This window comes from Homo sapiens, chromosome 15 (genome assembly GCF_000001405.40).
Source record: "Homo sapiens chromosome 15, GRCh38.p14 Primary Assembly".
Classification (NCBI taxonomy): Eukaryota; Metazoa; Chordata; class Mammalia; order Primates; family Hominidae; genus Homo; species Homo sapiens.
The window spans coordinates 101,347,932-101,364,613 of NC_000015.10; the positions used below are offsets into that span (position 1 = coordinate 101,347,932).

Genomic DNA, 16,682 nt, shown 5'->3' on the forward strand with positions numbered 1-16,682 from the left:
AACGGGGTGGTTGCTTAGCTGGGGGAAGTCTTCCAAACAGGCCTTGTGAGACCAATGTGCCCTCAGACAGGAAGGGCATACACTTTATGTCCTGTCTTTCCTTGGGTAAACCTTCCTTCTGGGTTGTGTTACCTGCCCCCTCCAGGCAGCCAGATGCTGGGGAGGCCTGATACCAAGCCTCACCTGGAAGTGGAGGGAAAAGCCACAACCCCCGCCCCCCCGGGGTCCCGCTGGGTCGGACCGGCCCCTGCGCCTCCGCTGCTCCTCCCCGGTGGGAACGTCAGCAGCCATTCCAACGCCCAGGCTTCACCGTGGGGGAGGCTGGGGGAGCCGAGGCAAGGAAGTGAGGGCTAGATCTCTTTACTGGGCAACAGGCAAGGCCTGACGACAGCAGGGCTGGGCCAGTCTGGGGAGACACGCAGTGGGGCCAGTGTGACATTTGCGGAGTAAAACGTCATCAAAATACATGCTTCGAGGTATGAAGTGTGAACTATCATGTTTGAAAAGAACCTGCTTCCCTGGGCTTTCTGGAGTCTTCCAAAGGTATAGCAGCACCTTCGTGAGACACCGTCACAGCACAAGGCAGAACACAGAATTCGATATGTAACTGACATGTGTAATTGGCTTCAAGGAAGCTCAATATCAAGAAACACTTCTTGGTGTTTCTGATGTTATAGGCACTATGGACAAAGATTGTAATCCTGAAACCTTTGAAACTCCTCATAAAGGATTTGTTCATATGAAACCTTCCTCCATTTGAATCTCCCCAGGCCCGTTGAAGTAGACACTATTATTCCCATCACACACGTGCAGAAACAGAGACTGAGAGATTCCGTGACCAGGCCAGGAAGCGGCCAGCTGAACTCAGACCACGCCTGCCAGCTGCTCTGCTCTGGGCTCTCCCTAAACACCACCCTGAGGTCCAAATCCCGTTCAGGAGCTCCAGTGTCTGCGGCAGCCTGGTCTCCTCCCGCCACCCTCCTGCTCCTCTCACTCAAGTCGCCTGGATAACGGGTCAGATTTGGTTTTCGTAACTGATCTGTGCCCCGATAGCTTATTCTGCAAGTTTTGGCAAAAGCACCACAGTTCTGACTAGACCTTCCTTGATCCTGTCTTGGCTTCAACTTTCAGGTTTCTGGGAAGGACAGAACCAAAGCTGGGATTCCACAGAAGCACAGGGTAGAGTCAGGTGCACTGGGCTGAGCTCCAAAGAAAGCCAAGCCCTGTGGGAACTTCCTGAATGGCTCTGCCCCGGGGGCCTGCAAAAGTCCTGAGGAGCCAAGGCAATGCTTGGCTTATCATCTCCTCCTGGCAGTTTCAACACAAAGCTTTTGGTTAGCAAAGTTTTGTTTGTTTTTCTCGGGAAAAGTGTTGCTTAAGAAGAAGAAAGGAAGAATAGAAATGTACCTGCTGAGTTCAAAAGTCAGAAGAGTTTTCCCTTAGGGCCAGCCAACCCAATAGCAGCCCAGCTTTGCCTCCAGCGCAGCAACCCTGGATTCAGTGAATTCCAAATTCCTGGGTTCTGTAGAGGTCGCAGCCAATTTGATTTTCCTCAGAGGCATGGAGGCAGGTCTCTACCAGCTTCTCCAGGCTGGAATTTTCCCAGAGAGCAAATGGACCAATTCCTAAAGGCTGTGGTAAAACACACACTTGCAGTGGCAGGTAGGGAGAGGGGAGAGGAGCCTGGGCTTCTGTGACAACCTACACAGGCTGCGTGAGAAATTTCATGTCCACCAGGTGCTGGTAAGACGCTGATGAGGGAGTCATCAGTCCCAGGTCTCCCAGCCCGTCACCGGTGCAGCCAGCGTGGGACCCAGGCTCCTCTGCCCCTGCATTCCCGTTCTTTAAATCACATCACTCTGTGGCCCCGAGTGCAGAGTGCCATACAGATTCGTTTCACACATTTGTTCTACCATCTCTGCAACTGCTGCTTGTTGGCTTTCTATCATGATTTTGCCTTCTTGTGTTTTCGTTTATTTTTTTTATTTTTATTTTTTCTGAGACGGAGTCTCTGTTGCCCAGGCTGGAGTGCAGTGGCACAATCTCGGCTCACTGCAACCTCCACCTCCCTGGTTCAAGCAATTCTCCTGCCTCAGCCTCCCGAGTAGCTGAGACTACAGGTGCACGCCACCATGCCCGGCTAATTTTTGTATTTTTATAGAGATAGGGTTTCACCACGTTGGCCAGACTGGTCTCCAACTCCTGACCTCGTGATCCACCTGCCTTGGCCTCTCAAAGTGCTGGGATTATAGGCGTGAGACAACGCACCTGGCCTTTAGTTTATATTTTATTTGGATACTACAAATGTTGACTATCTTGTGTTTACTGGTTATTTGTATGTTTTCTTTACGAATTGCTTTTCAGGATTTTGGCCTATTTAGTGATATTATTTAAATATTTCTTAGTGATCTGTAAGCACTCTACATTTTAAGGCTATAACACAGTATAGCACTCTGTGATTATCTAACCTCTACAGTTGAGATATTAGACATAAAGGTGTCTGCCTGTGTATTAGAATTTTTTTATGCCAAATATTACTTTAATTTTACCCCTTGGAAAAATGACTTTTTAGCATATGGAGAATTCAGATGATCACTATTTACTGATTAGCAAGATTTAGTCAGAAAAATAGTTTGATTTATTAAACAGCAGTTAAACCAATGGCAATTAGACCGGGGGGCCTCTGAGCCGGCCCTGGGAAGAATGAGGCCAATGAAAAAAGAATGCCTGGTTGCGACGTATATTCCTGGGGAGGACTGGAGAGTGGCTGGCCCCCGCAAGCATAAAGAGGAGCTGGGACGGGTGGGGAGCAGTGCACGTTGAGCCTTGGTCCTGCAATGAATACGCTCCCCTTAAAGTGTGCTTGTCCCAAGAGAAAGACAACCCTCTACCCGTTCAATTCCCAATATGCAGTGGTGCGCTGCAGCCGACCAGCACTGGCTTAACGGAACTGATTGTGAACATTTTCAGAACCTTTGTGAGCTGGTTGTTAAACACAGTCTTTATTAAACATTAAATTATAGAAGCTTACAATTGAATAAATTATACTAAAAACAAAGGTAATGAATATTCACAAATTGCCCCTTCCTCATGATCTCACTATATTTTGTCATTATCTGTGCTTCAGGGTTACTCACATCTGTTCTATCTACACAGGGGAAGCACTATCTCATGGTGGCTACTGGACCCCTCTTTTACCAACCCGTCTTCAGTGACGTCACGTGAAAAGCTTGAAATTGGCCATGGCGGGATATTCCCATATGGAAATCGACAAATGCTACAAACAAGGGCTGGGTTTACTGTTGATTTTCTGGGCTTAAGAAAGTGATGGAGAAAGCATTAATACTGCAGGTATAACTTAAAAATGTTTCATGTCTGTAGGTATTACACTGTGAACAGCTTACAAAACTGAAGAGATATTCTTTCAGTATTTGAAAATTATTTTCCAATTTAGCAAGGAAGTTGTTCCCATCCCTGGTGAGTGAATGAAGTTCTGACATATGTCTTTGTTGTTTCTGTGGCAAAAATATTACCCAATATTTACGCTGGAAAGACAACTGTTCATGCATGGCAGCCATCGGCTGGTTATGGAACCAGAATTCGGCAAAAATCAATGAAAGCAGTCTCTGAGAATCAACTGGCTAAATGGAATTTATAATACAAGCAATGTATATTTTATTATTTGTAAATTGTTGGCTAACATCCTTTATATCAGTAAAATTTATAATGAACTTATGTGATATGTCAATATCTATAAATAATTTCCCCCAGAGCACTAGTTGTTAAATATTTACCAGCAAGCAGGACAATATAACTTCATGGGTGGTGGGAAAATGGGGACAGGATGGGATGCCTCATATAACAGCCAAATAAACAGCCCTCTTAACTACCATGAAACAGAAGACTCAATTCAACTGAACATGTAAACAGGGCAGAGTGGGGACAGCAAACTAAGGCCAGGACCTACCGCCTATTTTATAAAGTGAGGTCAGAACACAGCACGGCCTCTCATTTACATAATTTCCATGGCTGTTTTACACTATAATGGGAGAGTTGAGTAGTTGTCTCAGAGACCAGAAAACCTCAAACATTTACTATCTGACCCTTTACAGAAAAAGTTTTCCAACCCATGGGCTAGACAGAAGTGAAAAGGCCATCTGTGAATCACTTGAGTTTGTCCAAAATATTTTATAAATATTTTTCTAATTTTTTTTTTTTTTTTTTTTTTTTTTTACAGACGGGGTCTCACTCTGTCGCCCAGGCTGGAGTGCAGTGGTGCAATCTCAGCTCACTGCAAGCTCTGCCTCCCGGGTTCATGCCATTCTCCTGCCTCAGCCTCCTGAGTAGCTGGGACTACAGGTGGCCGCCACTGCGCCCGGCTAATTTTTTGTATTTTTAGTAGAGACGGGGTTTCACCGTGTTAGCCAGGATGGTCTTGGATCTCCTGACCTCGTGATCCACCTGCCTTGGCCTCCCAAAGTGCTGAGATTACAGGAATATTTTTCTAATTTTATGATGTTTTCTGCCAGACAGAAATTTCTAATTTTATGTGTATGCATCAAGATAATTATTTTCTTTCCAAATGGTTGGCCAATTATCAATAACTCTTATTCAACACTTCAGTCTTTTCCCACCAGTTTAAAACGCTATCCTTAGCATATCTCTGTGGCTTTATTAACGGACTATCCGTACTGTTCCCTTGATCGGTCTATTCCAGCACCAGTGCCAGATCATTTTATTATAGTTAAAAAACACAGTTAAACACCTGCATTCATTTTTTCAGAATTTCTCTAGCTATTATCTGTGCCCATTCTTTCAGAATAGGTTTTCCTTGCATTCCTTTAATTTTGTTGCGATGTTGATGAGGACTGTGTTAAAGTGACGGCTAACCCTTCTTTGTGAAGAAGAGATATCTCAGTGATACTGAATCCTCCCATTCAGGAACATAGTCTATAGGAAAAACCCTTAAAACCAAGCATCTATTCCAAGTACCTATTGCATTTCAAATGTTCTACTGCAGTGGTTCCCAACCTTTTTGGCACAAGGAATCAGTTTATTGGAAGACAATTCTTCCACAGCTGGGGATCCGGTGGGGAGCAGTGGGGATGGTTTCGGGGTGATTCAAGCACATGACAATCATTGTGTACTTTATTTCTATCATTATTACATTGTAAAACATAAGGAAATAACTATACAACTCATCATAATGTAGAATCAGTGGGAGCCCTGAGCTTCTTTCCCTGCGACTAGACGGTCCCGTCTGGGGGTGATGGGAGACAGTGACAGATCATCAGGCATTAGATTCTCATAAGGAGCGTGCAACCTAGATCCCTGGCACGTGCAGTTCACAATGGGGTTCGCACTCCTATGAGAATCTAGTGCCTTTGCCGATGTGACAGGAGGTAGAGTTCAGGCAGAAGTGGGAGTGACAGGGAGCAGCTGTAAACACACATGAAGTGTTTGCTGGCCGCTCACCTCCTGCTGTGTAGTCTAGTCCCTAACAGTCCATGGACCATGGACCGGTAGGTGGGATGGGGACCCCTGCTCTTGTGGACTGGTCAAAGCAAGTTCTCAGAAGGCCTGCTGCTCTCTTGGATTTCAGCCAAGTGAGGCAGCCTCTCAGCAGCAACATTCCTCAACACCCCGACCCTGGCTGGCACCCAGCAGAGGCTCCCAGCTTTTAATATTTCATTTAATTTTTATCTTCTAATTACAACACTTTAAACAAAAAAATCCAACCAGAAATATCCTGAAGCCAGACACATGAAAACCACTGGCCACAGGGCTAAAGAGATCAGATCAACTATGGGCTGCCTGTACTGCCTTGGAGAGGCGTGGAGACCTCACCAGGTTGGGTTGAGGTGAGGGTGGCCCTGAGCTTGGAAGACGGCCCTGACACCAGGCTCTGCCCCTTCCAGGCAGGTGAGCTCAGTCAGGCTCTGGGTGGAGGAGCTTGGACTCAGCTCCCTCTTCCACAAAAGGAGAATCTAAACACTCACAATAAGAGAATCATGTTCATGCTGGTAAGGCTCAGCACTTCTCGGGCACTGTTTCGTTTAATCCTCCCACCATCCCTGGGCAGAGGACAGGTTGGAGGCTCGGAGCATGGAAATGGCCTGCCGAGGTCCGCAATGACCAGTGGTGGAAGATGGATCTGAGAAGCAGGCCGCTCTAGAGCTCAGCCTTGTGTTACACTGGGTCTTGAAAAGGAAGCATAAGCCAATATGCACCACACACATACACACACCCACATATCCACATGCACACACACACAGATACATGTACAAGTATACACATATACCTAATGCCCACATATACACACATACATATCCACATAGACATGCACATGGACACACAGATACATACAAGCCCACATACACACATACATACTTATACACAATACTCTCCCTCACACATGCACACATATATACACCCAAGCACACACTCCCATACACACGTCCAGTAACTGTCTAGAGCACCTTCAGTCAAACGTAAAAGAAACTACGTGTCTTTTTACACTTTAAACAAAGTGTAAAATCCCTGTCTCTACGTGTCCCACGGCACATTGAGCATTTACTCCTCACAAGTGAAGAACTGAAGTGTATTTGCTGTAAAGCAATGAAATCTTTACATCGTTAAATTTACTTGTGCCATGTAAATCTCTCAGACAGTCTTGCATTCTGACCTCTTCGGAAGAAATGTTTCCCATACATGTGCTTTTAAAAACTCTTCACGTAATGGAAATTCTCAAATAAACATAAAATGGAGAAAACAGTACAATGAGTCCCCGTGCCCCATCACACAGTCCCAAGAATCCCCAACCTTTTCTCAATCTGGTTTCGCCCACCCTCTTCCTACTCTCCCACTCCTCACCCCCACCCTCTGGAATAGTTTAAAGCACAAATCATAGGCATCGTGGTCATGTCTTCATTTGTAAATACCATGATATGCATCACTAGCAAGAATAACTTTTCCTGAAACTTTAATTCCTTATTATCATCTACCCTGATTCTATACTGATTTGTAACAGCGAGATAAAATAGCACCCAGTGCCTGCTGGAGAACACGTAGGTGCTAATCATCATCCTATTCCTCTCTCGTTCTTTTGATAAATTGGACTTCTTTCCTAGATTGGTGGGAATCTGGAAATAATGCTGTTGAAATAATCTGGAAAAACACAGCACATGTGGGTTGCTGCTCTTTTGGAAACAGATGAAAGATCAGAGAAAAAAGAAATTTTAATCAGGGAGAAAGTGAATTCTCAGAGTTCAAGAGTGACACAGGATTTTTTAAAGTGCCATCAATTGTCTCAGACAGTCTATTTATTACTATGTGAATACCAAGTACGTAAAACCCTTTGGAACCATGAAATAAGATACATGGTGTCAATTATAGAGAGAAGATTGGAAAGCATGCCTGATTATTTTTTCTATTTAGACATTGATGTCTCACAATTCTCCCTGGCAGGGGAAGACTGTGGGAGGTGCCCCAGCACCTTAGGTAGGCTCCTGGTTACAAAGGGAGGGCTAGGCCAACTCAGTAAAGTTTGGGCCCTGTACATAGCCCTGGTCAAACTGCCTGCAGGGCACACTCAGCTGGGCTCTTGGGGTGGAAGAAGTGAAGAACAAGGAAACACCCCTCACACCCATGCCTACCCAGCAGACCCGGCATGGGGCAGGTGTGCAGACAAGGTAAGTGTGTGCTGCATGAACAGGAGAACACCATGCAGATGCCCCTTAGTGCTGACAAAGCCAAGCTCGATTCCTGCAGAGCACTTTGCATGCATCCGGCATGCCCATGGGGGCCCCAGGTCATGAGGAGGTGCAGGGACCTTCCTGCACCTGAGGGTGCCGAGCGGGATGTGGCCCTGGGTGGGGAGGCTGGCCTGACCTTGGCAGGTGCACAGGCTCTGCCTTGTCGTTCAGGTGCAACCACCAACGTAGGCTCCGAGGCAAGAAGGGCGGGCTGGGAAGGCTCCTCTCTTCAGTGACTTGGTCTGGGTCTCACTTCTGCACAGCCCTATCTTACAGGAGAGGAGACCCAGCGCAGAGGCCAGAGAGACAGGAAAAGCGGAGGCAGGAGGATCCAACCCCAGGCCTGTCTGATGTCTGACGTGGGAGAATGAAGCATACATGTTTCTCAGAGAATAGACACTTTCTGCATTCTGGGTCCAAACTTAAAATCTCGGGCATTTTGGATGGCAACTCTCTTAAATGCAGCCAAACTTCTCCGACAGATGTTCTGCAGGACGAGCCATCGCCCCAGCTCTGCCTGCACCGTTGCCAGCTCCGTTCGTAGCCTTGCAGGCTCTGTGCGTAACGGCTGGAGTAGCAAGCTCACCCACGGTGGAAGCTGCCCCCTCTTCCACACCCACACTGTGCACTGCAGGGGCAAGGTCCTAGTGTTCCCAAATCTGGAGCTAAGTAGAGTTCAATAAAGGTGTGCTGGGCTGGGTGCAGTGGCTCACCCTGTAATTGCAGCACTTTCGGAGGCCGAGGTGGGCAGATCACCTGAGGTCAGGAGTTCAAGACCAGCCCGGCCAACATGGCAAAACCCTGTCTCTACTAAAACTACAAAAAAAAAAAAAAAAAAAAAAAAATTAGCCAGATGTGGTGGCAGATGCCTGTAATCCCAGCTACTTGGGAGGCTGAGGCAGAAGAATCGCTTAAACCTGGGAGGCAGAGGTTGCAGTGAGCCGAGATTGCGCCGTTGCACTCCAGCCTGGGCAACAGAGCGAGACTGTCTCAAAATAAATAAATAAATAAATAAATAAATAAATAAATAAATAAATAATATAGGTGTGCAGGAATAAATGAAGAGCTGTTAGTATCTGCAAATGCTGCAAGACTGCAAAGCAGGATTCACACTCGATTCCATTCCTAAATTGCCTCCTGGAAGAGAGTGATCCTGGGAGGACCCAGATCCTTGGCCTGGGAACTGAAGAGGAAAATGGATGACTGATGTGCTACTCAACCTTTAAAAATGGCTTTAAAACTAATTACCTAAGCCACGTTCAATCTGACAGGAGGTATTATTGGAGCTAGCGCATCAGTCAGATCACTTAATTACTTCATAAATCCTGGGTCTTAGCATAGATTTTAAAGCACTTTTACACAGAACACCATTGGAGCAGTTTTTTTCTTTTCATTTTCTTTTAAAGCAATTAACTTGCAGAGATTTGCAGGAGATTGAAATGAACACCACAGAAACGAAGCACCCTGCCCCAAGCACAGGTTCTTGGAATGCCTGTAGAGAAGTGAGGACTGCCTGCTTTTCTGGTCTACGCGTGTGTGTGTGCTGCACTGTGCCTGGCACTGAGGCTGGTGGTGACTGTGCACTCACAGGCCACCCTCACCAGACAACCAGGGAGTGGAAGATCCTGCCCATTTGAGATCAGTTCATACCTCGGCATCGACGAGGCTGACAGGCAGCTGACTCGATGCTGACGATGCTGACCAGACCTGCATTTTCCTGGCTGACCAGCCCTGCATTTTCCCGGCCTCTAGAGCTCTGAATCCTGGAGCTAGAGGGCAACCTAGGTCTTCTCTGTCACCTTCCCAGGCTGAGGTCCCCAACAGGCACTATCAGCTTGACCTGAACATTCAGTGCTGGGGCTGGTCCTGCCTCCCTGTGTACACAATAGCGTCATAGCGTGCAGGCAGGCTGGGCTTCCCTCTCCACCCATGCACTGATGAGAAGCCTCGGCCAGCGGCCGTCCTGCCCACCTGGCGTGGCCTCACAGGCATGCTCTGGGGGTAGGTCTTATTGCGAACAATGCCTACGTTGGGTCCCGGGTCTTTGGGCACAGCATAACCAGTGCCTTGGTGAGCTCTGGGTAGACACGGATTTTCACCCTTCCTCCTAGGGGGTGCTTCCTGGCTCTCTGGTGGTTGATAGAGATCTTCTCAGACTCTCCTCCACACCTCAATGCCCGTCCACTGCAGGCCCCCATCCACACTGACGCCTTCTGTGGGCACCAGAGCATCCTCCCAGAGGCAGCAGGCCCTTTCCTTATGTCGGCCTGGCCAGGAAGCTCCCACCTCTGCTCTGCACTCATGGAAGGGCCCAGACCTGCCCCTGGAAGGAGGGGAGTTAGGGCAGGTCATCGCTGAGGACTGTCTCGGCCTGACATCCCCGTCGCTTGCCCAGTGGATCGGGTGGGGAAGCCTGGCTCGTCACTGCTGAGCCCCTCTGTGGTCCCTCCCAGGGCCTGGGGAGCAAGGCCAGCCCTGAGAAGTCTCACCCCTGGGGGTAGGCGGAGTAAGGCAGGTCATATGTGGGCAATGCCTGGCACTTCATTCTACAAAAGGACAGCCGTACCCTTGGGGCAGTCGCCATCTCCTAATGGCCTGTATTTTCTATGCTACTAAGATAAAAAAAAACAAAGTGACACTGGGGAACTCCTGAGAATCTGGCCTTAGGCAGACCCTTCCTCACAAGCCCTTCCTTGTTTCTTTCAGCCGGAAATCCCTGTTTGCTCCACTGAACTTGGGGCACTCCTCTGGGTCACTGGTGGCCCTTGGGCCCTTGTGCATGGTACTATTGGTTCCTGAAATCCGAAATGTTCCCAACTAGCCTGTGGGCTCCTCAGGGGCAGGAACTGTGTCTTGGAGCCTCTCTGTGCCCGAGCACTGGCATAGCATCTGGCACATGGCAGGACCTCTGCAAAATGCATCGGAGACATGTCTGTTAGGATACGCAGACCTCCCATTTTGACATTTCAGGAACAGCCGGAAGAGGTACCATTCATCTGGAGGCTGAAGAGGGCTTATCCTGGATCAACCTCAAAAGCACTGGGCCCATACGCCAACCTGGAAAGGGCCGCTTGGCCTTTGTTTGAGCCCCTCTGACCCCTTTTGGCTTCACTCCATCACTCCCTTCCCTCACCCTGGGAGGATCCAGCCGCCATGCTGAACAACAAGCTCAGAGGCTGGCCCTGGAATGAAGTGAGCAGGGCAGGTTGGGGAGACTCAGTTGCAACTGCAGTGTCCCATGTGAGGGCCACATGGATTTCCACTGTGGAGAGATGCTGGTGGGACCCAGGCTCCCAGGCTAGCTCTCACTGTGCTTGGGGAGGATGCACAGAGCCTGTGGGTGACAGGAAGGCGCCCGTCCTCCCCACACACAGCAGGGAGGGCTTGCCGTGCGTCAGCTGTGGCAGGACGCATGCCTGTACTTGCTGTTTCTGGACCACATTCAGGAGTGGCAGTTGTCTACAGGGTAAAGCTTGCATGGAATGAACTGACTCCAGACGCCCTTGCAGGAATGTGCATACTCTCTGTGATGACACTGGAGAATGTGTCCCCGCCCCCCAAATTCCAGTAGGCCCTAGAAGGTCAGAGCTGGAAGGTACCACAAGGTGTTTATTCTGCACCCGTCTCAACCTTCTGAAAGCAAAGATCCAGTTTCTACCCACGCTGAGGGGTGGAGATCGACCTGTGTCAAGACTTCATTTGGGGCTACCCTCAGGAAGTATTTCTTGTATCCACTAATCCTGTGTCCTCTGTAGCACACAGAGCATCTGGTCATGTGGTGGTTACAGAGGGTTCCAACTGGACTAATTAATCCGCCAACACCTATTGGGCACCTATCATACACCATGCAGCAGGAGGCTCTCAGGGCACAGCAGGACCGGAAGGAAGGAAGGCTGCAGATGGCAAGCCCATCAGTGCTAAGGCCAAGGCCAGAGCTGCTGAGTGCCATGCAGGCAGCAAGCAGGGAGCTGATATGGCAGCATCTGGCTGGGCAGGAAGCAGTGTGGCAGGTGCACAGGTGTGCAGGGCATGCGGTTCCGTGCTGTGCACCACTGCAAGCCTAAAGCTCGCTCAGCACCCACACGCAACAGGCTCCAAACGTGTGAATCACTGTTATATAAACAGATCTCCTTCCATTGCTCATACAGCTTGAAAGGCTGACGATACTTAATATACCTAATCCGAATTTGGATTTCTAGCTCAGTCTTCCCTCTCACCTCCAGGTACATATCTCTGCCTGGACTTGTGTAAGTATCTTTGATTTAACCCACCCAAATCCAAGCTCCTGATCTTCTCTCCAGCATCTTCCCCCCCTGCAATGTTCCAGATCTAGGAAACTAGGACTCCATTCTTCTACTGTGCAGGACAAAAACTCTGAAGTCATCCATGCCCCCTCTCTCCTCTCACAGCCCACATCTGATCCATCTACACATCTCTCGACCCTGCTTTCAGAATCTGACTGCTTCATACACTCCACTGATGCTGCCCCGTCGGAGTCACCTTCACCTGATATTGCAATGACCTTCTAACTGGCTTCCCCGCCTTTGTTCCTCTCCCACCCTCACTTCCGTCTATTCTGACCAGCTGTCAGCCTATTAACACAGAAGTTCAGATCACCTCTGTCCTCTGCCTAAAATCTCTCAGTGACTTCCAACCAAGTCCCTGTGAGGGCTGACAAAGCCCAGTGCGATCTGGTCCCTATGCTCTCAATGCCTGGTCCTGTCCTATTCTGCTCCTCTTCCCACTGCCCCCTGCAGCCTCGGGGGCCTCTCTGCTGTGCCTGGAACACACCAGACACACTCCTGCCCGGGGGCCTTAGCATCCCCTGGAACACACCAGACACACTCCTGCCCGGGGGCCTTAGCATCCCCTGGAACACACCAGGCACACTCCTGCCCGGGGGCCTTAGCATCCCCTGGAACACACCAGGCACACTCCTGCCCAGGGGCCTTAGCATCCCCTGGAACACACCAGGCACACTCCTGCCCGGGGGCCTTAGCATCCCCTGGAACACACCAGGCACACTCCTGCCCGGGGGCCTCAGCATCCCCTGAACGCTTTGCTTGGAATGCCCTTTTCCCAGATGTCTGCAGAGCTCACCCCCTCATCTTCTTTGAGCTTTACTCAAATGTCCCTTCCCTGAGGCCTTCCCGGTACACCCTGAAATGCCCTTGTCACCCTGCCCTGCTTCATTTTTCTCCTTAGAGCTTCTCATCATCTAATGGACAACAGCTTCCTGCCTGGTAATCTTGTTTCACGGCCTCCTCTGCCTTCCAGAATGTAAGCTTAGCATCTGTTTTGTTCACCAGTGCATCCCCAGTGCTTAGAACTTGGTAAATGCTCAATAAGTATCTGTTGAGTGAAGGCTGTGTTCTTGGAGGGGAGTATTCTTTGAATAAACTGATGAATTCCACTTCCTAATGTTTTATTTAAGACTTCCGTATCCCTATTCAAATTTGCCTATAGTTCTTTCTCTCTCTTTTTTTTTTTTTTTTGGCATATTGATCAATTTCTCTTCACTCTTATTTCCCTCTAGTGATCTGGAAGGTTGGCATCCTGTTTTAAATCTTGATTATCTCTCTATTATAGGAAGATATTTGAGTTTATATGTCTCTATCAGTGCTAAGAGTAAGACATAATCCATCACCCCTCCCACTAAATGTGGAATCAGAATCTCAGCAAATTTTTATTCCTCCCCATTCTCATCCCCTGCCTTTATGTTTCTGTAGGAGTGTAAGGTGGGAGAGTGGGTAGGACATCCACCACAGGCATTCAGATAAGACCCCTCCATGAGGCCAGGTCTGAGCTGCAGCCATGGGAAGCCCTAGGGACAGCTGTCCCCAAGGAGGGAGCAGCACGTGCCAAGGCCCCATGGAGGTAAGACCAGGCATGTTAGGGGAACAGAACGGAGGTCAATGATGAGGCGCAGGAAATGATTCACGGTGGAGAGGTGCTAGCAGGATGTGCAGGTCAGGCTAAGAGATTTGGGTTTTGCTCTAAGAGCTGTGGGAGGTCATTAAAGTTAGCAGGGGTGCATCATTTTCTGAATTATATTTTAAAAGGATCATTGGATGCTGGGTGGAGAGTGGCTCTAGCCAGTAGGGGTTGAGGCAGGGGGGCCAGTGGAATGAGGAGGTAAGACACTATAGGGGACTGAACTGAGGCAGTGGGCAGACTGAGATATATTCTGGAAGCAGATGGTGAAGGAGACAAAGAAGAATTAAAGGTTCACTCCTGGGATTTGGCCAAGCAATGGAGTGCAAGGTGAAGCTTTTTTTTTTTTTTTTTTGAGTTGGAGTCTTGCTCTATCATCCAGGCTGGAGTGCAGTGGCGCAATCTCAGCTCACTGCAAGCTCCACCTCCCAGGTTCACACCATTCTCTTCCCTCAGCCTCCCAAGTAGCTGGGACTACAGGTGCCCGCCACCATGCCTGGTTAACTTTTTGTATTGTTAGTAGAGATGGGGTTTCACCATGTTGGCCAGGATGGTCTCGATCTCCTGACCTTGTGATTCACCCGCCTCGGCCTCCCAAAGTGCTGGAATTACAGGCATGAGCCACCATGCCCAGCCCAAAGCTATTTACATTAATGTGGAAAGCAAGAAAGAGGCAGTTTGGGAGTTTGTCTAAGGTGCACAAGCTCAGAGCCAGTTAGACCCATGCCCAGAAGCAGGAGGCTGCTGCAGAGCAGGTCTGGGTGCAAGAGGGCAGGGAGAGGCAGCTTTGGGCACCACCAGCAGGTACAAGGTGCTCAGTGTCACGGGGCTGGATGAGATCCCTGGATGGGAACAAAGAGCAGAGGACCCAGGAGTGCGTGCAGGGGTATGTGCGAGAGGATCAGCCAACGAGATGCACAAGGGGCAGCCTGTGAGGTGGAGAGGGCCCCCAGGTGTGGCATCACTGCAGCTGTGCAAGAGGGCACTTCTAGAGGGGGTGAGCTGCCAACGTCGCTGTGTGCCGGGCCCTGCTCTCGGTATCCAGCCTGTCTTACCTGATTTCATCCCACCGCAACCCAGTAACTTGCGTACTATCCCCATTTTCTAGATAAGAAGACCAAGGCCTAGAAAAGCTAAGTGACTTGCCAAGGTCACAGGTATTTGTAAGAGTTAGAGCCAGCATCTACCCCCAGGTAGAAGGGCTCCTGAGCCCCCAGTCTTAACCACTGCACCCTGTGGTCCCCAGAGAGGGTGCTTAGTTTGTTAGAACCATAGACCCTGGCTTTAACAACCTGGGGAGGACAGAGATGGGACCATAGGCTTGGGCAATGTGGAAACGGTGGGGGACCCTGACGAGCCCCGGTATTTTGTGCAGTGGATGGGAGTGGGCTGGGAGTGAGCCAGTGATGGCCATGGCAGGCAGCTTGTTCTGCCGGCTTTGCCATAAAGGGGAGCAGAGAAGTGGGTGGTGGCTGGAGGGGATGTGGACTCAGGGGAGAGGCATCAGTGCACGCATGTTGGCCTAATAGGAAGGGGAAAGAGAAGAATGCGTGAGATGCATGAGAAAGGCTGCCTGCAGAGGCACAGTTCCATGGGGGATTGACTGTCCCCTCAAAGCTGCCCTGGGACATGGGTAGGGCTCGTTGTATTCGGCTCATGATACAGAGTAAAGATCACAGGTCTAGAGTGTTGAATGGTGTGCCCGGTTTCCAGGGCTATGCCATGAGGACACAAGAGCAGTAGCCCCAGCCTCCATGTGCTCTCCTGCATACAGCACCAGCCTCCCAGGCAAGCAGGCCATGCAGGCTGGCATGAGAACTCTGCCTTGTGCCCACGAAGCAGTGAATGCTTGAGGATGCAGCTGGCATGAGGAGTAAACCTTGACTTTTAATACTCGGCCAATACACTTTGGGGCTTTTAAAAGAAAGAATTTAGGAGCTTCCACTATTAAAATGTGTAAATTTCAGGTCATTTAAAATTTTACATTTTTGTACTTTTAGGATTTGTTATAACACTTTTTTTTTTTTTGAGACGGAGTCTCGCTCTGTCACCCAGGCTGGAGTGCAGTGGTGCGATCTCGGCTCACTGTAAGCTCCGCCTCCCGGGTTCAAGCCATTCTCCTGCCTCAGCCTCCCTAAGAGCTGGGACTACAGGTGCCTGCCACCTTGCCTGGCTAATTTTTTTTTTTTTTTGGATTTTTAGTAGAGATGGGGTTTCACCGTGTTAGCCAGGATGGTCTCGATCTCCTGACTTCGTGATCCACCCGCCTCGGCCTCCCAAAGTGCTGGGATTACAGGCATGAGCCACCGCGCCCAGCCAACGCTTTCTTAAAATAGTTATTTACTATTTTAAAACCAGAAAGAATACAACTGGGGGAGGTCCCAGATCCCTGTAGATGACTTGATGACTTAAAGTCAATTTTCCACGTAAGGCAAGTCAACACTCTTCTTTTCTCCTAAAACTGTGCTATTCCAAATGGAATGGTTTTTTTAATTTTGCTTTTGGATTGTTTATGGAGAACTGGAAAAGAACCAGGGCAGGGGAAGGTTCTCACGCACTCCCAGGGTGACCAAGAAGCAGACTGCATCTTCACAGAAAAGGGCACAGGGAACGACGGAACAGTGAAAGCAAACCTTGAGGAAACTCGCCCATAGAAAAGCAAGATCCCAGCACATTCTGTAAACGTTACTATGCATTCGACCCAGAGAACAAAGACAGGCGTTTATAGACCTTTGTGGGTAACTACAAAATAAGATGTGCTGATTATTCCAGTTTTCTTTCCTGGTTGTAACCCCATTACCTAGATCAGAGTTTGGTACTTAATAAAGACTAGTTAAATAAATGATTGATCATTAAGTAAAAGGGATTAAAAAGGTACAAGAATTACCAGAGAAATAAACAATCCAAAAGAAAAATTAAGAAAACCATTCCATTTGCAATAGCATAAAAATAATAAAATACTTAGGAACAACTTTCACCAAGGAGGCGAAAGAC

General features: G+C 48.8%; 1 protein-coding gene across 5 annotated transcripts in view, besides 4 other annotated features; it reads right to left on the reverse strand.

The window, feature by feature from the left end:
• Nucleotides 1-16,682, reverse strand: part of PCSK6 (proprotein convertase subtilisin/kexin type 6) — a 185,775-nt gene that overhangs the window by 43,999 nt on the left and 125,094 nt on the right. The window lies entirely within an intron of this gene.
• Nucleotides 9,285-10,228: an enhancer, noted in NCBI's record as "H3K27ac-H3K4me1 hESC enhancer chr15:101897421-101898364 (GRCh37/hg19 assembly coordinates)". NCBI's record gives its function as "activates a minimal SCP1, AML or CMV promoter by ChIP-STARR-seq in naive H9 embryonic stem cells {active_cell/tissue: H9 hESC(naive)}" and the evidence as "EXISTENCE:reporter gene assay evidence [ECO:0000049][PMID:30033119]".
• Nucleotides 11,173-12,116: an enhancer, noted in NCBI's record as "H3K4me1 hESC enhancer chr15:101899309-101900252 (GRCh37/hg19 assembly coordinates)". NCBI's record gives its function as "activates a minimal SCP1, AML or CMV promoter by ChIP-STARR-seq in primed H9 embryonic stem cells {active_cell/tissue: H9 hESC(primed)}" and the evidence as "EXISTENCE:reporter gene assay evidence [ECO:0000049][PMID:30033119]".
• Nucleotides 12,117-13,060: an enhancer, noted in NCBI's record as "H3K4me1 hESC enhancer chr15:101900253-101901196 (GRCh37/hg19 assembly coordinates)". NCBI's record gives its function as "activates a minimal SCP1, AML or CMV promoter by ChIP-STARR-seq in primed H9 embryonic stem cells {active_cell/tissue: H9 hESC(primed)}" and the evidence as "EXISTENCE:reporter gene assay evidence [ECO:0000049][PMID:30033119]".
• Nucleotides 14,907-15,724: an enhancer, noted in NCBI's record as "H3K27ac-H3K4me1 hESC enhancer chr15:101903043-101903860 (GRCh37/hg19 assembly coordinates)". NCBI's record gives its function as "activates a minimal SCP1, AML or CMV promoter by ChIP-STARR-seq in primed H9 embryonic stem cells {active_cell/tissue: H9 hESC(primed)}" and the evidence as "EXISTENCE:reporter gene assay evidence [ECO:0000049][PMID:30033119]".